The 19,366-nt window shown below is 55.9% G+C and overlaps 1 protein-coding gene and 1 long non-coding RNA gene across 5 annotated transcripts, besides 8 other annotated features; one reads left to right on the top strand and one right to left on the bottom strand.

Moving 5' to 3' along the window:
• TFAP4 (transcription factor AP-4) lies at window positions 137-15,974 on the top strand. Of its 4 annotated transcripts, none has more exons than NM_003223.3 (7): window positions 137-502; window positions 10,459-10,624; window positions 10,738-10,836; window positions 11,211-11,381; window positions 12,565-12,705; window positions 12,915-13,070; window positions 14,911-15,974. In NM_003223.3, exons 1-7 carry the CDS (start codon window positions 414-416, stop codon window positions 15,103-15,105), a joined length of 1,017 nt encoding a protein of 338 aa, NP_003214.1. In that variant the 5' UTR covers window positions 137-413; the 3' UTR covers window positions 15,106-15,974. The 4 variants fall into 4 exon arrangements, with proteins under 4 accessions (NP_003214.1, XP_011520937.1, XP_011520935.1 ...); XM_011522635.4 differs by lacking the exon at window positions 137-502 and adding an exon at window positions 4,956-5,112; XM_011522633.4 differs by lacking the exon at window positions 137-502 and adding an exon at window positions 6,230-6,708.
• Window positions 263-312: an enhancer, noted in NCBI's record as "active region_10338". NCBI's record gives its function as "activates an Ori minimal core promoter by ATAC-STARR-seq in GM12878 lymphoblastoid cells {active_cell/tissue: GM12878}" and the evidence as "EXISTENCE:reporter gene assay evidence [ECO:0000049][PMID:35858748]".
• Window positions 563-612: a silencer, noted in NCBI's record as "silent region_7150". NCBI's record gives its function as "represses an Ori minimal core promoter by ATAC-STARR-seq in GM12878 lymphoblastoid cells {active_cell/tissue: GM12878}" and the evidence as "EXISTENCE:reporter gene assay evidence [ECO:0000049][PMID:35858748]".
• Window positions 944-1,920: an enhancer, noted in NCBI's record as "H3K27ac-H3K4me1 hESC enhancer chr16:4321241-4322217 (GRCh37/hg19 assembly coordinates)". NCBI's record gives its function as "activates a minimal SCP1, AML or CMV promoter by ChIP-STARR-seq in naive and primed H9 embryonic stem cells {active_cell/tissue: H9 hESC(naive and primed)}" and the evidence as "EXISTENCE:reporter gene assay evidence [ECO:0000049][PMID:30033119]".
• Window positions 973-1,132: a silencer, noted in NCBI's record as "silent region_7149". NCBI's record gives its function as "represses an Ori minimal core promoter by ATAC-STARR-seq in GM12878 lymphoblastoid cells {active_cell/tissue: GM12878}" and the evidence as "EXISTENCE:reporter gene assay evidence [ECO:0000049][PMID:35858748]".
• Window positions 1,213-1,402: an enhancer, noted in NCBI's record as "active region_10337". NCBI's record gives its function as "activates an Ori minimal core promoter by ATAC-STARR-seq in GM12878 lymphoblastoid cells {active_cell/tissue: GM12878}" and the evidence as "EXISTENCE:reporter gene assay evidence [ECO:0000049][PMID:35858748]".
• Window positions 6,454-9,284, bottom strand: LOC124903634 (uncharacterized). Its single transcript, XR_007064959.1, has 2 exons — window positions 8,278-9,284; window positions 6,454-7,469 (listed from the first exon to the last, which is right to left on the bottom strand). It is a non-coding gene; the product is annotated as an uncharacterized LOC124903634 (long non-coding RNA).
• Window positions 7,307-7,951: an enhancer, noted in NCBI's record as "H3K4me1 hESC enhancer chr16:4315210-4315854 (GRCh37/hg19 assembly coordinates)". NCBI's record gives its function as "activates a minimal SCP1, AML or CMV promoter by ChIP-STARR-seq in primed H9 embryonic stem cells {active_cell/tissue: H9 hESC(primed)}" and the evidence as "EXISTENCE:reporter gene assay evidence [ECO:0000049][PMID:30033119]".
• Window positions 7,952-8,595: an enhancer, noted in NCBI's record as "H3K27ac-H3K4me1 hESC enhancer chr16:4314566-4315209 (GRCh37/hg19 assembly coordinates)". NCBI's record gives its function as "activates a minimal SCP1, AML or CMV promoter by ChIP-STARR-seq in primed H9 embryonic stem cells {active_cell/tissue: H9 hESC(primed)}" and the evidence as "EXISTENCE:reporter gene assay evidence [ECO:0000049][PMID:30033119]".
• Window positions 19,103-19,362: a silencer, noted in NCBI's record as "silent region_7148". NCBI's record gives its function as "represses an Ori minimal core promoter by ATAC-STARR-seq in GM12878 lymphoblastoid cells {active_cell/tissue: GM12878}" and the evidence as "EXISTENCE:reporter gene assay evidence [ECO:0000049][PMID:35858748]".

The raw sequence follows: 19,366 nt of genomic DNA, 5'->3' as shown, positions 1-19,366 counted from the left end.
CCGCGCCCCTCTCGCCCCGGCCTCGCGCCGCCCGGGGGGCGCTGCAAATAGTCCTTTGTTTACATGCAATTCCTTACTCCGCGGAAGGAGGCCGGGGGAGTGCTGAGTTTTCACCAGCTGTTTCCCGCCTTGAAACAGACATCTGATCAGCTGCAAACACACACACACACACACACACACACACACACACACACACACACACACATACACACGCCCGGGGAGGCAGGCCGGAGAGACCTCCCTCCCGCCCCTCCCGCCCGCCTCCCTCCCCTCGCCGCCGCCGCCGCCGCCAGCATCTGGGACCGGCCGATTCTGCACCTCCGTCCGGCGCTGCCCTTTGATTCGGATTTCCATCTTGCATTCTCCGGCTGATCGCGGGACCTGGCTCGTGCAGAGGAGGGGGGCCGATCGCTATGGAGTATTTCATGGTGCCCACTCAGAAGGTGCCCTCTTTGCAACATTTCAGGAAAACAGAGAAAGAAGTGATAGGAGGGCTCTGTAGGTGTGTACTCCTCCTCCCCCCACCCCCTTCCTACCACTGCAGCCCCCGGCCAGCCCGCCCGGGCGGGCGCGCGTGTGCGCACGCATGGCCCGCGCCGCCGACCCCGCTAGCCTTTCTTAGCTGCCGGGACGGCTGCAGCCCCACACGCCGGGTCCGCGCCGCCCCGGGACCCTCCTTCCTTGGAGCATGGGGGCCCCAAGCGGCCCCGGCCACTTTTGTCCGCTGCAGGCGGGCGAGTCGCGACGTTTGTAAATTGCAAACAGACCCACGTGGTTCTGCAGCAGTCCCGGCCATGCTTGGTGCTGGTGGCCTTCCCCCCCGCGCTTCCTCTTTCCCCCTCCTGCGGCGGCTTCCTTCCTCTCCTTCCTTCCTCGGGATCTGAGGTCGTCCCCATCCAAGGGGGTCTGGGGGCCCGGGGCGCGCGTGGGGGTGTAGCTAGGGCGGCTACAATGCAGCCATGCCGCGGCTCCCGGCGCGGGGTGGGGGCGGGGAGCCGGGCACTGTGCGTGTTTGCAGAGCGGGGCTGCAGCGGGGTCGGGGGCGTGCTCGCGTGTGGGTGTTGGGGGTGGGCGGACCCCGAGGGGCCCGCGCGGCCGGTAGGGGCGCCGCGGCCCGGGGCACGTTGGCTGCCGCTCGCTCGCCCGCCCGCGCCCGGGCGCTGTTTACTAGCGAGGCCTGGACGTGACTCTGCAGCCCTCTTGGAGTAGGCGGACCTCTGCGCGCGGCCTCGCGGGAGCTGTAGTTCTCCGTGTCCTGCTGGTGCAGCATTGTGGGATTTGTAGGCGCTCCTGGGCCACGCTTTCCCTGCACAAAGCTCGGCCCCCGCGGGCACGATGGGCAAGGCAGGCCAGGTGGGCAGGCCATTTGGGGAAGGGACACCTGAGGCCGCCCCTAGCCTCGCAGGGCAGCTTCCCGCCGCACGTGGGTTTCCTCTGCAAACTTTCCCATCCAACGCCCCTCCCCCCTGCCGTAAACCGAAAGCGTCGGGTCCCCCAGCCGGGTGGGTGGCCCGAGGTCCGCAGGCCTCCCCAGAAGCCACTTTGCAAGCTTTGGTCCTAGGTTGCTCTAAACCCAAAGGGTGATGGACTCAAGGACCACACACAGCCAAACCACCCCGCACACTTCTTAAAATGCACATGCCTGGAACTCTGATCGCTGGGGCCCGGACATCTGCATTTTGAACGACCCCCTGGGCGTGGTGTGGGGGAGGTGGGCGTTCTACGGCGTGCGCAAGTTTGGGACCTGTGGCCCCTTTCCTGCCGCGCTGCTCCAGGAGCGAAATGGCTCCCCAGGGCTGGAGCCACGTGCTCTGCCGCCCGAGGCAGTCTGGGCGGGGATTGAGGGAGGAGGAGCCCGCCGGTGTGGCACAGGCTGGTGGACGCTAGCGCCTGCAGAATCCGGCCTGGAGGGAAGGTTGCTGCACACGTGTAGACACTCCTGCCCAACCCTCTGCCCCGGGGGTCCCCACCTTAAGGCTACTCTGAAGTTCCCAGTCAATACCTAGACTTGGGCCAGTTGATGGGTTTGGCAGCTGGCAGGGATGCCCCGAGGGCTGGCCCTTGCACGAGGCCCACCTGGAGGGCCCAGTAATAATAAGTAAAAAAAATTCTTGAGCTCTTTTTATGTTCTGGGGACTCACTTTGCTAGAATTTTCTCACTGAGTTGTCATAATCTTTCTATGAGTCAAAAGTGTCTTTTGATTCCGCTTAAAGAGGCGGACACAGAGACTGGAGAAGGGACCACTACAGCAGGTGGTGGAACTGGAACTTGAACCCTTGTCCTGGGGTTGCTGCTGCTGCAGGGCTGGGCTGGGCAGCGCGGAGGTGCAGTTGAGCCGCTGTGCCTACTGGAGAAGACATTCTGGGCCTGATCCTGGGCAGGGTTGGGGGGCCCTCTGGCTGCCATGCCTGGGCCTTGGGTGAGTCCTCTCAGGGCCCCCTGAGATTCTGGCTTCAATTTATCCCTGCCCCAAGCGTTCCTTTGGAGCATACCAGCAGTCCCCCAGGGTAGCTGGATCTTGGTAGGCCAAGGACTTGAAGGTGTAGGGCCTTCGTCCAGGGTTGGACATGGCAACGTCCATTGCAAGACAGTTGTCAGCTGTGCATTAGGCATGGAGTTGGGGGTCCCTGGATTTGTTTACCTTCAGTAGGGGTTGCAGGGTGAGGTGGGAAGCCAGTCTGGGATCAAATGTGTTCATTAGGCAGGACCTTCTGGCCAGATGCATTTGCTTCTCAGGGTCATCTCAGGCTGGTGGGCTTTGCTCCATCCCTCAGTGACCAGCAGGGATCTCCCTGTCTTTCTGTCTCCCAGGCCTGCCAGAGGGGATTGTAGGGCACGGTGCTGCACACACAAGCTGCAGGTTTTGGACCTGTCGCCTAATGGTTCTCAGTCTCTGGGAAACAGAGCACCTGTGAGAAAATTAGCTATGGGTATGGCAAGTGCCTGGTAGCTGTAAAAATGACACTCAGTCTTTTTTTTTTTGAGACGGAGTCTCACTCTGTCACCCAGAATGGAGTGCAATCTTGGCTCACTGCAACCTCCGCCTCCTAGATTCAACCGACTTTCCTGCCTCAGCCTCCCAAGTAGCTGGGATTACAGGCATGTGTCAGCATGCCTGGCTAATTTTTTTATTTTTAGTAGAGATGGGGTTTCACCATAGTGGTTGGCCAGGCTGGTCTCGAACCCCTGACCTCAGGTGATCTGCCCACCTTGGCCTCCCAAAGTACTAGGATTACAGGCATGAGCAACTGCGCCCAGCCACTGAGTCTTAAAAGCAGGTATATGGGCAGGTATATGGTAGTCTCCATCCATATCTTGTGTTTTGTTTGTTTGTTTGTTTGTTTGTTTTGAGATGGACTCTCACTCTGTCGCACAGGCTGGAGTGCAGTGGCGCAATCTCGGCTCACTGCAACTTCTGCCTCCGGGGTTCAAGCAATTTTCCTGCCTCAGCCTCCTAAGTAACTGGGACTACAGGCCCGCTCCACCATGGCCGGCTAATTTTTGTATTTTTAGTACAGACGGGGTTTCACCATTTTGGCCAGGATGGTCTCGATCTCCTGATCTTATGATCTGCCCGCCTCGTCCTCCCAAAGTGCTGTGATTTCAGACGTGAGCCACCGTGCCCGGACTCTCCATCTGTATCTTTTTTTTTTTTTTTTTTTTTTTGAGGCAGAGTCTCGCTCTGTCGCCCAGGCTGGAGTGCAGTGGTGCAATCTCGGCTCACTGCAAGCTCGGCCTCCCGGGTTCACGCCATTCTCCTGCCTCAGCCTCCCGAGTAGCTGGGACTACAGGCGCCCACCACCACGCCCGGCTAATTTTTTGTATTTTAATTAGAGACAGGCTTTCACTGTGTTAGCCAGGATGGTCTCGATCTCCTGACCTCGTGATCTGCCCACCTCGGCCTCCCAAAGTGTTGGGATTACAGGCGTGAGCCACCGCGCCTGGCCTCTGTCTGTATCATAAAGCTCCTAGGCCTGGCTCGGTGGCTCAAGCCTGTAATCCCAGTGCTTTGGAAGGCCAAGGGGAAAAAATCATTTGAGCCCAGGAGTTCGAGACCAGCCTGGGCAACATAGCAAGACCCCACCTCTACAAAAAATAAAAAAATTAGCCCGGCATGGTGGCATGTGCCTGTAGTCTCAGCTCCTTGGGAGGCTGAGGCAGGAGGATGGCTTGAGCCTGGGAATTGGAGATTGCAGTGAGCTATGATCATAGCACTGCACTCTAGCCTGGGTAACAGAGACCCTGTCTCTTAAAAAAAACAGTAAGACTGGGTGCAGTGGCTCACTCTTGTAACCCTAGCACTTTGGGAGACCAAGGCGGGAGGATCACTTGAGCCCAGGAGTTCGAGACCAGCCTCAGCAACATGACGAAACCCTGTTTCTACTAAAAATACAAAAAACTAGCCGGGTGTGAATGGTGTGCACTTATACTCCCAGTTGCTTGGGAGGCTGAGGAAGGAGGACGACCTGGGCCCAAGAAGTTGAGGCTACAGTAAGCCGAGATCATGCCATTGCACTCCAGCTTGGGTGACGGGAGTGAGACCCTGCCTCTAAATAAATAAATAAAAATAAATTAAAAAAATAATAAAACTTAAAAAGCTCCCATAAGAAGGAGTTCAAGAAAATTGAAGGCTTTGGAGTGTTTATTGGGTCCCTGATTTATTTATGAAGCAACAACATTCTGCCGGGACTGAGGATACAGCCATGAACAGGATGTGACTCCTGTCCTCAGCAGCTCACAGCCTTGTGGTCTTAAAAGGTCTTGTAGACCCCCTAAGAGTTTCATGGGTTGTCCTGGACACCTGGGTGCAAACTAACTCTTGGGCCTCGACCTCCCGAGTAGCTGGGATTACAGGCACGTCCCACGACACCCGGCTAATTTTTGTATTTTTAGTAGAGAGGGGGTTTCACCATCTTGGCCTGGCTGGTCTGAAACTTCTGACCTCAGGTGATCTGCCCACCTTAGCCTCCCAAAGTGCTGGGATTACAGGCATGAGCCACCGTGCCTGGCCTTTCTTGATCTCTTTTAAACTTCACCATGACCCTGTGAAGTGAAGCAGTGTTTCCATATTTTACAGACGGAGGAAACCGAGGCTTGGTGTTGCACAGCTAGTAAGTGGCAAGGCTGGACTTTTTCACTTGAGCCCAGTGCAGGGTTCCCACTGATGGGCTGGAGGAGCTTTGGGGAAGGGAGGGAGGCAGGGATGTTTCTGATGGCAACAGCCTGGGCATGGTGTGTTCTGGGACCGAGGGGAAGGGCAGCAGACTGGCCAGGTCAGAGTACAGAGTATGGGTGAGTAGTGTAGAAGCAGCGGGGATGGAGCATGGATGAGAACCTCGGGCTGATTAGGTTAGAGAAGGATGAGTGCCTTAGTGCTTTTTTGGGTTTGGGAGAATCCCGTGTGGACTTTCCCACGTTGACTGTGTAGATGTTAAGTGACCCTGAGGTATGTGAGTGACTTCAGGGCAGTGTGAAATGAAAGTTCTCAGTGGCCGGTTTGAGGCTGGAGCTGGGCAGGCAGGTGTAGAGGGATTGGGGGTACTTGACTTTGGCCTGGGCAGGAGGGATAGGTACCTGGCAGGGTTCTAGACTTGAAGGGCATGCCCCATGCCTCCAAGTGTCTGGTTGGGACGCCAGCGTCAGTCTCAGCAGATTCTGTGGGTGCTGTGGTGGTAGGTGTGGCGGCTCTTGCCTTAGCATCCAAGGCTGGTGCCCAAATTTTGTTCCTTGGCCATTGGCTGCTCAGTGACCTTATTCCTAAATCTAGGGCAGCCCCTGTTTGGACCCAGGAGGCTGGCTTGCAAGAAGCAAGAGAGCCTTGGTGTGGCTGGGCATGGTGGCTCATGCCTATAATCCCAGCACTTTGGGAGGCCGAGGCGGATGGATCATTTGAGGTCAACAGTTCGAGACCAGCCTGACCAACATGGTGAAACCCCATCTCTACTAAAAATACAAAAATTAGCCGGGCGTGGTGGTGGGTCCCTGTAATCCCAGCTACTCGGGAGGCTGAGGCATGAGAATTGCTTGAACTCGGGAGGTAGAAATTGCAGTGAGCTGAGATTGTGCTACTGCACTCTAGCCTGGGCAACAGAGCGAGACTCCATCTCAACCCCCCCTCCGCCCCCCATAATTAGCCAGGCTTGGTGGATCACGCCTGTAATCCCAGTTATTTGGGAGGCTGAGGCATGAAAATCGCTTGAACCCGGGAGGTAGAGATTGCAGTGAGCCAAGATTGTGCCACTGCACTCCAGCCTGGGCAATAGAGCGAGACTCAGTCAAAAGAAAAAAGAGAACCTCGGTGTTGGTGGACTTGGGTCACCTTTGATTTTCACCTGGAGGAGTCTGAAGTGGCCAGAGAGAGGATAGTGGACCTTTACTGTGTGTGTAGGACGTTTACAGACCTTAACCGTAAATGCAAAACCCCAGAAAGAGCTATCAGAAACTTTCAGGCATTTGCAGAAAAATCCACTTTATTCAGTGCAGTATCACCTGGAAATTTCAATCAACCATCCTTCATCAACAGGAACCCCTGGTTGGTCAGCCATCAGAAGCCCTGGTTGGTCAGCATTCCACCAATAAGAATTCCTGGTTAGCGGCACTCCACCAATCACAACCCCTGGTTAGCTCCTATTCCACCAATCAGAAGCCTTGGTTAGAATGCATTCTATTAAAGGACTCTGTCGGCGGGTACTTCCAGGGCAATTTAGGTGAGTTATATTTGAGGGTCTTGGTGGCAGATTCAGGTCCCACGAGGAACTGTACCTTTTGGGGGGAAATTTGCTTTCTTGGATTTAAGAAAGTGCTTAACCTAAGTTAAGCACTAGGTTAGCCAGCAGCTGGTTTCTGAGCCAGGAGACTGGGCTGATGGCTTTGGAGAGGAAGGAGGCAGGATGGAGCATTGGAGAAGCTGGGCCGGCAGATTCTGATGCAGAGGAGGAGGCGACACAGGCCCCTGATCCCAGCCCCAGCTCCTCTTCCTTGTGAGAACTTCCGGCTGGGGTTTTCGGGACTGGGGTCTGGTGGTCTCCTTTGGTCTCCCAGTTAGTGGGCTGCCTTGCGGGGAAGGGACGGAAGAGGCTGAGGGTCAGCTCCCAAGAGCAGAGGAGTTGGTGGGACTTGGGCCGGGAGGTGCAGAAGGGTGCATCTGGCTGCACCCTGCCCTGCCCAGCTGCTGGGTGTGACCTTGGGCAAGTCACCTCACTTGTGGGCTTGTGTTCAGAGGGGCAGGGGTGATGGCTGAGCTTGCAGTCACACACCCGCTTCTGATAAGTGGCGGGCTGTGTGAACTAGCAGTCAGTAGAGGCGCTTCAGTGGGTTGGCATCTGCAGGTTGCTGTTGTGCCAGGTCTGGCTACTTGACCTTGGGATCATCACCTTCCTTCCCACGACCCTGCATTGCTTGCTCACTGTAATCTCGGCCACCCCACTGGGTTTTGTGAGAATCAGGCAGGGAAAAATGTCAACGAGGTCTGTGAATAATAAAAAGAGTTACACGATTACAGCGATTTCCGAATGCCTGGTCCTTTTTTTTTTTTTTTTTTTTTTTTTTTGAGACAAGGTCTCACTCTGTTGCCCAGGCTGGAGTACAGTGACATGATCACAGCTCACTGCAGCCTCAACCTCCTGGGCTTATTACATCCTCCCACCTTAGCCTCCTCAGTTGCTGGAACAATAGGGACACTCCACCATGCCTGGCTGATTAATTTTTTCTAGTGATGGGGTCTCACTATGTTGCCCAGGCTGGTCTTGAACTCTGGGGCTCAAGCGATCCTCCTACTTTGGCCTCCCAAAGTGCTAGGATTATAGGTGTGAGCCACTGTGCCCGGCCTAGTCTTCTCTTTTACAGGGATAACTGTCACCTGCCAGTTGGGGCATCTGGCTCTGTGGGCCGGTCAGAGCTCATTCTGCCCTATGGCCTGACACCTGCTCTGGGGTCAGGGTTCACGCCCAGCGCTTGCTGCAGCTGGACCCTACCCAAACCTCTGTGCCCCCCTCTTTACATGGGAGTCTTCAGGCCACCTGACTCAGGAACATTGTGACAATTCAGTGAGAAAATTCTCGCCAAAAACTTAAAAAAAAAAATGTATCCCTCTGTTGTGGACCCTCCAGGAGGGCCAGCTCTCAGGTGGCCCAAGGCTGGACTTGGTGCTCCCTTTTCACCCCCTAGTCAGCTCTGGCTTTTGGGCATTGCCAGGAGGGACCCAGGGGCTGGGTGGGCAGGGGTCTCTCCCCACATCTCTCCTGAGGGGGATGGTGATGCCTCAAGATTGCACTTACCTTGTGTTGTGGCTTCCTATGGACATCTCTTCCCACCTCTTACCTCCAAAGAGCCCCAGCTTTAAGCCACCCACTGCAGAGCAGTCCTGGTCCCCTTGGCCTGCTGGCCTCTCAGACATGGTATGGTCTGAGTTTGTGCCAGGCCTGGGAGCCTGGACTCCGCCCTAAGGCTGGGCCACACACAGCCGTGCAGCAGGCCTGCTCCAGTCCCCCTATCACCTCCACTTCAGGGCAGGGGAACCGGGAGAAGTGAGAGCACTGACATCCAGCTGACCGACCCTAAAACCATCCCCTCTCTGCCCTGCACCCTAAAGTCTCATGGAAAGTGGGGGGCCCGGGCCCCTTTTGCAGTGCGGACATTTCAAGACCCTGTAAGAGACTTGTACCCTGGGTGCAGGCCCTGGGCCTTTGGGTCCTGATGGAGGAGGGGGCTTGGCTTGATGAGGACGGAAGGAGGCTGATTTGCATCCAGACTTCCGGCGTTGGACACCTCTCTATTGGGAGAGGAAGCCGAGGCCGGGGAAGGGGCAGCGATGCGTCCAGGGTCCCACAGGGAGCCAAGGCTGGACAGATGGGCAGGCTGGGTGGGGCCAGGAAGGCCACGGCTGTTTCCAGCTGTTGCAGATGTGCTGCCTCCGGGGTCCGTGCAAACTCCTTTCCGCCTGCAGGCTGGCGAAGGGGCCAGGGCACACAGCAGGGGAGTTAGACTTGGCAGCCCCTTGACCCCAGACTGCCTTCATCAATGGAGCAGGAGCTGCCCAGAACCCTTTTCCTGTTCTCCCACATTCAGGGGCATGAGCCCCCTTGGCCCAGTCCTGGAACAGGGCACCCCGGGAGGGCCCCTCAGGAAGAGGCCGGGGCTGCGGCTTCGGGTGGGGCCGGCAGCCTCTGCTGAGAGCCCAGCATCTGGAAGCCATCAGGCCAGGGGCGGGGGGAGTTGCAGGGGAGGTCCAGGGAGGGGGACATGCCTCCTCCAGGCCACACACAAGCCCAACCCTCGGGAGCGTGGCCTTGGGCCCACAACCGCTGCCTCTGCACCCTGGCCCGCAGCCCCGCCCCCTGGCGCACACGCCCCGCCCTCGTCCGAAGCCACGCCCCCAGCCAGCAGCCACGCCCTCTTCCCCCAGGCTGCCTTCTCACCGCACTGGCCACTGCTCCTGCAAGGGTCAGCAGCGCTCCCCACAGCATGGTGGGAGCCTCGCTTCTCCGGCGCAGGGTGGGTCTATCTCTTGGAGTGGGTGGGCTGTGGGGAGCCGTGTCCCCAGGGGTTGTTGGCTTGGTGTCTTTTTGGGGAGTGAGTGGTACTTGTCTTCTGTGAAGTCTTAGCCTAGCGGGGCTGGGGCTTGTGGTGGGAGGCGTGGCCGTGAGGGTAGGAAGGGAGTGGGGACGTCTTCCTCAGTCCTGGGGTGGCAAAGCCTGAGACGCTGAAGAGGCGCTCCAGGTGCCTAGCAAATCACTCAGAAGTGTTCCAGGAGCGGGGACAGCGTCCCTGAATGTCGTCTGCATCCCGCGTGCATCAGAATCACACCACGCACGTTTCTGGGCCCCACCGGGCCTGCTAGTCAGACGCTGGGGCCAGCACCCGTCGTCTGCATAGTTTCTAAGCTCTTGGATGTTTTGATGCTCAGACACACTGGGAATTCTGTTCCGGAGGAGAGACTGCTCCCTGTGAGGAAAGCCAGGGAGGGGATGGGTTTTTGTTGTTGTTGTTGAGACAAGGTCTTGCTCTGTTGCCCAGACTGAAGTGCAGTGGCGTGATCATAGCTCACTGCAGCCTCCAACTCCTGGGCTCAAGCGATCCTCCCACTTCAGCCTCCTGAGTAGCTGGGACTACAGGCATGCACCACCACACCTGGCTAATTTTATTTTTTTGTAGAGACAGGGTCTCACTACGTTGCCTAGGCTGATCTCAAACTCTTAGGCTCAATGATCCTTGGCCTTGACCTCCCAAAGAACTGGGATTACTGTGCCTGGCCCGGGGTGGGTTCTGAGCGGACTATCTTACCCGCAGCCAGCTGATTCAGTCCGCCCCGGTGTCCCAGAGAGCACCCCTCCATCACTCTCTGGGGGTGGCCTGGCATCTTTTGCAGCAGGGGAGGGATGCAGTTTCCACTGGGGCCCTCTGGAGATGAATGATGAAGAGGGCGCCTTGGCCGAGCCTGTCCCTGTCCTCTCTGGCAGCCTTGCCAACATTCCACTAACCCCCGAGACTCAGCGGGACCAGGAGCGGCGGATTCGGCGGGAGATCGCCAACAGCAACGAGCGGAGACGCATGCAGAGCATCAACGCGGGATTCCAGTCCCTCAAGACCCTCATCCCCCACACAGACGGAGAGAAGCTCAGCAAGGTGGGTGAGAGCAGGGAGGGCTTCCTGGAGGAGCCGGCAGGTTCCCGCTGGGAGAGGAAAGTGAGCTCTGGTAAACACTGCCAGCCTGACTCTCGGCTTTTCCACGCCCTCAGGCAGCCATTCTCCAGCAGACAGCCGAGTACATCTTCTCCCTGGAGCAGGAGAAGACCAGGCTCTTGCAGCAGAACACACAGCTCAAGCGCTTCATCCAGGTGCGCCCTGTCCTTCATGGCTCCCTCTCCCTGGCATGGGCATGCCTTGGACCCAGCCATGGGCCTGGGACTCAGGTGTGGCTGCAGGCCCCTTCTTGCCCACTGACAAGTACTTCCAGGCACTTTTTTTCCTGCCCCGGCCTCAGTTTCCCCATCGGTCAAGTGCGGTGGAGTGGGCTCTGGAAGGAGCCAGGTGACTGTTATGTAAAGCAGCCCATTCTCCTGGCATTTGGCTGGTTTGTTGGACTTGCAGAAGGGGCTCCCTAATGAAGATTCACCTGTGTTGGGCAGCTTTGGGGGGCTGCGATGGAACCCCAATCTCCGTGGTGGTACCGAGGTGTCAGGCACACTGACCGACTCCTTGGGGTCCCCAGGAGCTGAGCGGCTCGTCCCCCAAGCGACGGCGGGCAGAGGACAAGGACGAAGGCATAGGCTCCCCGGACATCTGGGAGGACGAGAAGGCGGAGGACCTGCGGCGGGAGATGATTGAGCTGCGGCAGCAGCTGGACAAGGAGCGCTCGGTGCGCATGATGCTGGAGGAGCAGGTGAGGCAGCGCCCTCTGCTGGGCACGGCGCGCGGTGCAGAGGGCGTGGAGCCTGGGGTCGCGCCTCTTGCTCTGCGGCCCTCGGTGGAGCCCTATTTACAGGAGCACCTACTGCGGTGCCAGGCCTAGGAGTGGGGAGCAAGCCAGACACGTCTCTGCCCTTGGGGGCCACCGTCTGCGTTGGGGTGGGGGAGATTAGCCAAAGGATCTCAAAAATGTAACCATGCTGTGGGAGGCCGAGGCGGGTGGATCACCTGAGGTCAGCAGATCGATACCATCCTGGCTAACACGGTGAAACCCCGTCTCTACTAAAAATACAAAAAAAAAAAAAATTAGCCGGGCGTGGTGGTGGGTGCCTGTAGTCCCCGCTGTTTGGGAGGCTGAGGCAGGAGAATGGCGTGAACCTGGGAGGCAGAGCTTGCAGTGAGCCGAGATCGTGCCACTGCACTCCAGTCTGGGAGACAGAGCGAGACTCCATCTCAAAAAAAAAAAAATGTAACCGTGATGGGCTGGGTATGGTGGCTCACACCTATAATCCCAGCACTTTGCGGGGCTGAGGTGGGAGGATCGCTTGAGCCCAGGAGTTTGAGATCAGCCTGGGAAGCATAGTGAGACTCTGTCTCTACCAAAAAAGATACAAAAATTAGCCAGGTGTGGTGGGGTGTGCCTGTAGTCCCGGTTACTCAGGAGGCTGAGCTGGGAGGATTGCTTGAGCCCAGGAGGTGGAGGCTGCAGTGAGCCATGATTGTGCCACTACACTGCAGCCTGAGTGACAGAAGGAGACCATGGCTCAAAAAAACCAAAAAACAAAAACAAAAAACCATATTGAAGGCCAGGCTGGAGCTGTGGCATCAGGAGGGGTTTTTCAAGGGACGCCCCACGGCATCTCCATGGAAGTGGGAAGTTGAGTCTCATAGTTAACCAAAGGACAGAGAAAGGTGTTCCCGGCAGAGGGAATAGCATAGGCAAAGACTCGGGCAGGAGGGAGCATGGTCCAGTGGAGGCCGAGGTGGGAGGCGAGAGGAGCCGGGGGCTGAAGGGCTCTGGAAAGGCTTCTGGCCTCTGTTGAGAGGGGCCCGCCCTGTGCTAGGGTTTTCAGCAGGAGTGAATGAGCTGCTGTGAGACTGACAGGGCAGGGTGTGCTCCCGGCCTTGGCCCTGAGCCCAGGTTGTCCTGCCTCCAGGTGCGCTCGCTGGAGGCCCACATGTACCCGGAAAAGCTCAAGGTGATTGCGCAGCAGGTGCAGCTGCAGCAGCAGCAGGAACAGGTGAGGCTGCTGCACCAGGAGAAGCTGGAGCGGGAACAGCAGCAGCTGCGGACCCAGGTGAGCAGGAGGCGCCCGGGAGTGGGCTCTGGGGACCGGGAAGGGGACAGGTGATCTTGAATGGCGGAAGCCTCTCCCTAGGCCACGTCCTCTCTGCTTCTTAATATAAAGGGGCAGAGGCAGTTATACATTGGCCAGCTCTGCATGAAAGGGAGGTGGATGGGCCAAGAGAAGCCTTGAGAGAAAGGCTGAGGGCCTCTGTCTTGCAGCTTCTGCCCCCTCCGGCCCCCACCCACCACCCCACGGTGATCGTGCCAGCACCGCCTCCTCCTCCCTCCCACCACATCAATGTCGTCACCATGGGCCCCTCCTCGGTCATCAACTCTGTTTCCACATCCCGGCAAAATCTGGACACCATCGTGCAGGTACCTGAGCTTGAGAAAGGGGCAGCTTGTGGGGGTCATACTCCGGGAACAGGCTCTTTAGGGGAGACTGGAAAAGAGGGGCAGAAGCGGAGGAAGATGGTGCTTGTGTGGGAAGGGGTGGAGGGCTGGAAGCCTTGGGGGGCCCCGTCCCTGGATCTGCAAGTGGAGAATGTGAGGGCCAGAGATCGGGGCAGGGCCTACCACGCCAGTAGGAGGAGTTGGCCAGGAAGACTGTCCCTTCCCTCAATATGGGGTTTCCGGAGAGGGTCCTTTGCTCCCAGAGCCCCCTGGTTACAGAGTTCCTGCATCCAGCTCTTGGGTTGGTCCGGAACATTGTCTCAGCTCCATCTCCTAGGACCTGGATGGAGATACAGGTGGCAGGGCTGGTGATAGTTGGGCCTCCTACAGAGGAGGAAGCTTTGTGGGTCAAGCCTGAAGTTACAGTTGCATTCACCCTTGAACAGGGCCCCTTGAGGAGCCCAAGATCAGAAATCAGTAAATAATAAATAAATAACCAAAAAAGCCAAAACAGGAAAAAAAATCCATCAATCTCCTCGAATTTTAATTGCTCATAAACTTTGCAAATTGTGTAATACAATTAATAACAAACGCCTTTAATAAGTTAATAGGCAAGCTTTAAAATACATAAACATATGGCCGGGTGTGGTGGCTCACACCTGCAATCCCAGCACTTTGGGAGGCCAAAGTGGGTGGATCACTTGAGGTCAGGAGTTCGAGACCAGCCTGGCCAACATGGTGAAAACCCCATCTCTATTAAAAATACAAAAATTAGCCTGACGTGGTGGTGCACGCCTGTAATCCCAGCTATTCGGGAGGCTGAGGCAGGAGAATCGCTTGAACATGGGAGGTGGAAGTTGCAGTGAGCTGAGATTGCACCACTGAACTCCAGCCTGGGTGACACGGTGAGACTCTTTCTCAAAAAACAAACAAACAAAAACATATGAAAGGTCCATATTATTTCTTTTTTTTTCTTTTTTTTTGAGATAGAGTTTCGCTCTTATTGCCCAGGCTGGAGTGCAATGGTGCTATCTCAGCTCATCGCAACCTCCTCCTCCCAGGTTCAAGTGATTCTCCTGCCTCAGCCTCCCAAGTAGCTGGGATTATAGGCATGTGCCACCACGCCTGGCAAATTTTGTATTTTTAGTAGGCTTCTGGCCTCTGTTGAGGGGCTGGTCTCGAACTCCTGACGTCAGGTGATCCTCCCGTCTTGGCCTCCCAAAGTGTTGGGATTACAGGCGTGAGCCACTGCGCCTGGCTGATACATATAATATAATTTCTAAGCAGCACTGGGACTGTCATCTTCCCAGAATGGATTTTTCAACTTAACAGAGGGGTTTTGAAAGTTTGTTCCTGGGTCAGGCGTGGTGGCTTATGCCTGTAATCCCGGGACTTTTGGAGGTTGAGGCAGGAAGATTGCCTGAGGTCAGGAGTTCGAGATCAGCTTGGGCAACATAGCAAGAACCCCCTCGTCTCTACCAAAAATACAGAAGTTAGCTGGGGATGGTGGCGCACCCCTGTGGTTCCAGCTACTAGGGAGGGAGCAGTAGGAGGATCGCTGGAGCCCAGGAGTCTGACTGCAGTAAGCTATGATCATGCCACTGCACTCTAGCCTGGGTGATATAGCGAGAGCTTGTCTCCAAAAAAAAAGTAAAAGGAGTTTGTTTTTCCTGTACTCTAGCGGGCCTCCCCTGCTGCTTTGCCAGGCTTTTTTCTGGGCTATGTGTTTTGGGGGTGACAGTGGCTGGCTGAGAGCCCCCACTGTCTCCTGGCTGGCCATGTATCCCCGGCCGAGCCTTCTCAGTGGTTCGTCCCTGTCCAGGCAATCCAGCACATCGAGGGCACCCAGGAAAAGCAGGAGCTGGAGGAGGAGCAGCGGCGAGCTGTCATCGTGAAGCCTGTCCGCAGCTGCCCGGAGGCCCCCACCTCTGACACCGCCTCCGACTCCGAGGCCTCAGACAGTGACGCCATGGACCAGAGCCGGGAGGAGCCGTCGGGGGACGGGGAGCTTCCCTGACTACCCCCCCAGCCCTCCTCTCCCTTCTGGGGGCTGGAGGGAGCCGGGGCAGCCACAGGGAGAGACATGGGCGAATGAGTGAGAAATTTTTACAAAATTACGATGTCATTTGGGTCTCTTTTATGACCTCTTTTTCAATACTGTAAATCGACCTTTGAACGAAGCCACTCAACCCGAGGTCCCGGGGCTGGGGTGTCGCAGAGCGTGTGGGAGCATCGGCACCCCAGGGCGGGGCCTCGGCCCCGGGGGCTGGAGGAAGCTGACACGGAGATGCCTGGCCTCTCTCTGCCAAAAAGCATTTTTTCCTTTAAATATGTTTTTTAAGAACAGGGAAAATTAAACAAAACCCCAGGTTATTTCTTCCCTGCCCAGAGCCAGCCTGGGATTGTCAGCCTTCAATCCCCTTTCCTTCCTCTTTTTGGGTTTTCTTCTTTCTCCTTTAAGCACTTACATGGTTGGGGGTAAGACTAGGCTGGGGCATTCTGGGGGCCCGGAGGTCTCCGTTGCTTCTTGGTTGGGGTTTGCTGCTGCTGTGCCCCCCTCCCCCTTCCCCATCTCGGCACTAGAATTCGCCACTCTCCCACCCCCCAGCCCCCACCTCTGCCTCCAGGTCTCATCTTCCACCCCAAAAATGTCTGTCTCTCTCTTTTTGTTTTGTTTGTTGTTGGTTTTTTATTTCTTTTTGGTTTGCTTTCTGTTTTTGTTTTGTTTTTCTTTTTTTTCTTTCTTTTTTTTTTTTTTTTACAATTTTGAGGTCTTCGTGTTCAAGGAGAAGCTATTATATTTTGTTAAGAAAGTGGGGAGAAAAAAACCAAGAGGCCACCGTGCCTTTGTAAAGAAACAAAATAAAGTTTGTACTTTGTTTTTTAGATTCTGAGTCTCCTGGGTGTGGGCTGGCCTGAAGACCAGGGCAGGGCTACCCCATCTAGAGTAGGGGGGCTCCTTGGGCCCCCCAAAGCGGACTGGGTGTGTGTGAGCACAGTTACTCCCTCAGCTTGTGTGTGGTGTTGCGATGAAAAATTGGGGTCCTCAGTTTCCCTGGGATGACCCTGGGTATTCTGTAAAGATGGAAGATGGTGTTGAGGCTGGGGAGTGGCTCTTTGGTGGGCGGCAAGGAGAGAAGGACAACCAAGCCACCGATTCCGAAAACCTGGGAAAGGACACAGGTGTTCAGGGGCCCTGCTTGGTCCCTACGCTTTGGTTAATCCCTAGGTTTTGCCACTTCCTGGGCTTCTGTAACTTCTCTGAGCCTCATCCTCTCCTCCCCTAGGAGGGGAACCCCACCCCCTCCAACCGCACCCCCCCAGCACCCCCCTGCCCCCCCGTGGTGTGGTGTTTAAGTGCTAAGATCCTGGAATTGGTCTGCCAGAGGTCAGTTCCCCCTCTGACAAACCGCTTCCTCTGAGCCTCAATTTCTTCTTCTAAAAATTGGCGATAATAACGGCACAAGGACATTGCATCCTATTGGGGATTGGCATGGTCCTTTATTTCGAGACAGAGTCTCTGTCTCCCAGTCTGGAGTGCAGTGGCGTGATCTCGGCTCACTGCATCCTCTATCTCCTGGGTTCAAGCAATCTTCTTGCCTCAGCCTCTCAAGTAGCTGGGACTACGGGAGTGCACCACCATGCCCAGCTAATTTTTGTATTTTTAGTAGAGACAGGGTTTCACCATGTTGACCAGGCTGGTCTTGAACTCCTGACCTCAAGTGATCCGCCTACCTCGGCCTCCCAAAGTTCTGGGATTAAAGGGATGAGCCACCATGCCTGGCTATTTTTAAATTTTTATTATTATTTTTTGGTGTGAGATGGGGTCCTGCTCTGTCGCCCAGGCTGCAGTGCAGTGTTTTGATCACAGTTCACTGCATCCTTGACCTCCTGGTCTCAAGTGATCCTCCCACCTCAGCCTCCCTAGTAGCTAGGACTACAGGCCTGTACCACAAAGCCTGGCTAATTTTTTTTTTTTTTTTTTTTTTTGAGATGGAGTCTTGCTGTGTCACCCAGGCTGGAATGCAATGGCACGATCTTGGCTCACTGGAACCTCTGCCTCACAGGTTCAAGCGATTCTCCTGCCTCAACCTCCTGAGTAGCTGGGACTACAGGCACCCACCATCATGCCCAGCTAATTTTTGTATTGTTAGTAGAGATGGGGTTTCACCATGTTGGCCAGGCTGGTCTTGAACTCCTGACCTCAGGTGATCCACCCACCTTGGCCTCCCAAAGTCCTGGGATTACAGGTGTGAGCCACCGTGCCTGGCCTGGGCCCGGCTGACTTTTTTATATTTTATTGTAGAGGCAGGGTTTTGCCATGTTGCCCAGGCTAGGCCATGGTCCTTTAAATCCTTCACTCTTCCGTGACCAGAGATCGATTTACACCGTGGTCCCCTCCTATGCCTCATGCTCACAGTGCTGGGTGCTTGGGGACTGAGGCCAGAGCAGAAGGCAGAATCACAGCTCACCCCACGATGACAGTGGACACGAACTCTTCACAGAAAGGCAGGAGTCTGCAGGTTTTCTTGGAATTTTACAGTGAACAATTCAATGGCACTTCATACATTCACAGTGTTACACAGCCTACCTGGTTCCAAAACATGTCCGTCACTCCAAAATGACTCCATGAAGCAGTCACTCCTTCCCCCTCCTCCCAGTCTCCAGCAACCACCTGCTTTCTGGTTTTAATATCTTTTTTAAAAAATTAAAGTAGTTGGCTGGGCGTGGTGGCTCACACCTGTAATCCCAGCACTTTGGGAGGCCGAGGCGGGTGGATCACATGAGGTCAGGAGTTCAAGACCAGCCTGGCCAACATGGTGAAACCCCAACTCTACTAAAATACAAAAATTAGGCTGGGCACAGTAGTGGTTCACGCCTGTAATCCCAGCAGTTTGAGAGGCCGAGGTGGGCGGATCACTTGAGGTCAGGAGTTTGAGACCAGCCTGGCCAACATGGTGGAACCCCGTCTCTACTAAAAATACAAAAATTAGCCTGGCATGGTGGCGAATGCCAGTAACTGTGGTCCCAGCTACTGGTGAGGCTGAGGCAGGAGAATCACTTGCACCGGGGAGGTGGAGGTTGCAGTGAGCTGAGATTGTGCCACTGCACTCCAGCCTGGGTGACAGGGCGACACTCCATCTTAAAAAATAAATAAATAAATAAATAATTTTTAAAAATGAAAGTAGTTACATTTAGTAGAAGTCACACTTTCTGATTTTTGGTTTTGCGTGTTTCCTACACGCAAATGCATAGTTTCCTACCCACCACTATGATCAAGATATGATTTAAAGAAAAAATAAAACAGGCCGGGTACGGTGGCTCACGCCTGTAATTCCAGCACTTTGGGAGGCCAAGGTGGGCGGATCACCTGAAGTCGGGAGTTCGACAGCAGCCTGACCAACATGGAGAAACCTTGTCTCTACTAAAAATACAAAATTAACCGGGCGTGGTGGCGCATGCCTGTAATCCCAGCTACTCGGGAGGCTAAGACACGAGAATCGCTTGAACCCAGGCGGCGGAGGTTGCGGTGGGCCGAGATCGCGCCATTGCACTCCAGCCTGGGCAACAAGAGCGAAACTGTCTCAAAAATAAATAAATAGATAAATAATAAATAAAACCAAAGCAAAATAAAAAAGATATGAATTAGTTCCTTCATTTCCAATGCCCCCCATGCCTCTTGGTGGTCAACCCAGCCCCTAGGAGCCACTGATCTATGTTGCCATAGTCTTACCTGTGACATGTCATAGAAATGGGATAACCCTGCCTTTTGAGCCTGGCTTCTTTGCACTGCAGCCAATTTTCTCTTGCTGAGATTATCCAGCTAAATTTACATAGGATCTGGCCCGGCACAGCGACCCCTTTCGGCCAGGTGCGAAACGGCAGGCCCGACGGTCCCCACGCAGCTCCTAAGAGGATCAACAGAGGGCGCAGTGCGCCCGGAACGCCCAGCCCCTGCGAAAGCGGAGGCTCCTCTCTCGGTCCCTGCGGGACAGCTCAGTTCTCATAGGCCAGAGGCGTGGCTTGGGGGCGGGCCAGGGGAATCCCACCTCCCCTTGCATGCTCAAGCGCGCCGGGCGATGGTAGGCGGTCTCACCCGCAGGCGGTGGAAGTCAGGGGCGCGGCTGCGGCCCCGCCCCTTCCCGGACTCGCCCCGCCCGTCCCCTCGCCGCGCATGTTCCCAGACGCCTCAGGCCATGGCGCGCGCGCTCCCGCCAGCACGCACGTCTGGCCCCGCCCCCGCGCCTGGCGCCCGCGCGCTCTCTCGCACGATCTGC

This window comes from Homo sapiens, chromosome 16, assembly GCF_000001405.40.
Source record: "Homo sapiens chromosome 16, GRCh38.p14 Primary Assembly".
NCBI classification, from domain to species: Eukaryota; Metazoa; Chordata; class Mammalia; order Primates; family Hominidae; genus Homo; species Homo sapiens.
The sequence above is the reverse complement of the archived record's forward strand: the minus strand, read 5'-3'. Positions and strand labels throughout refer to the sequence as shown.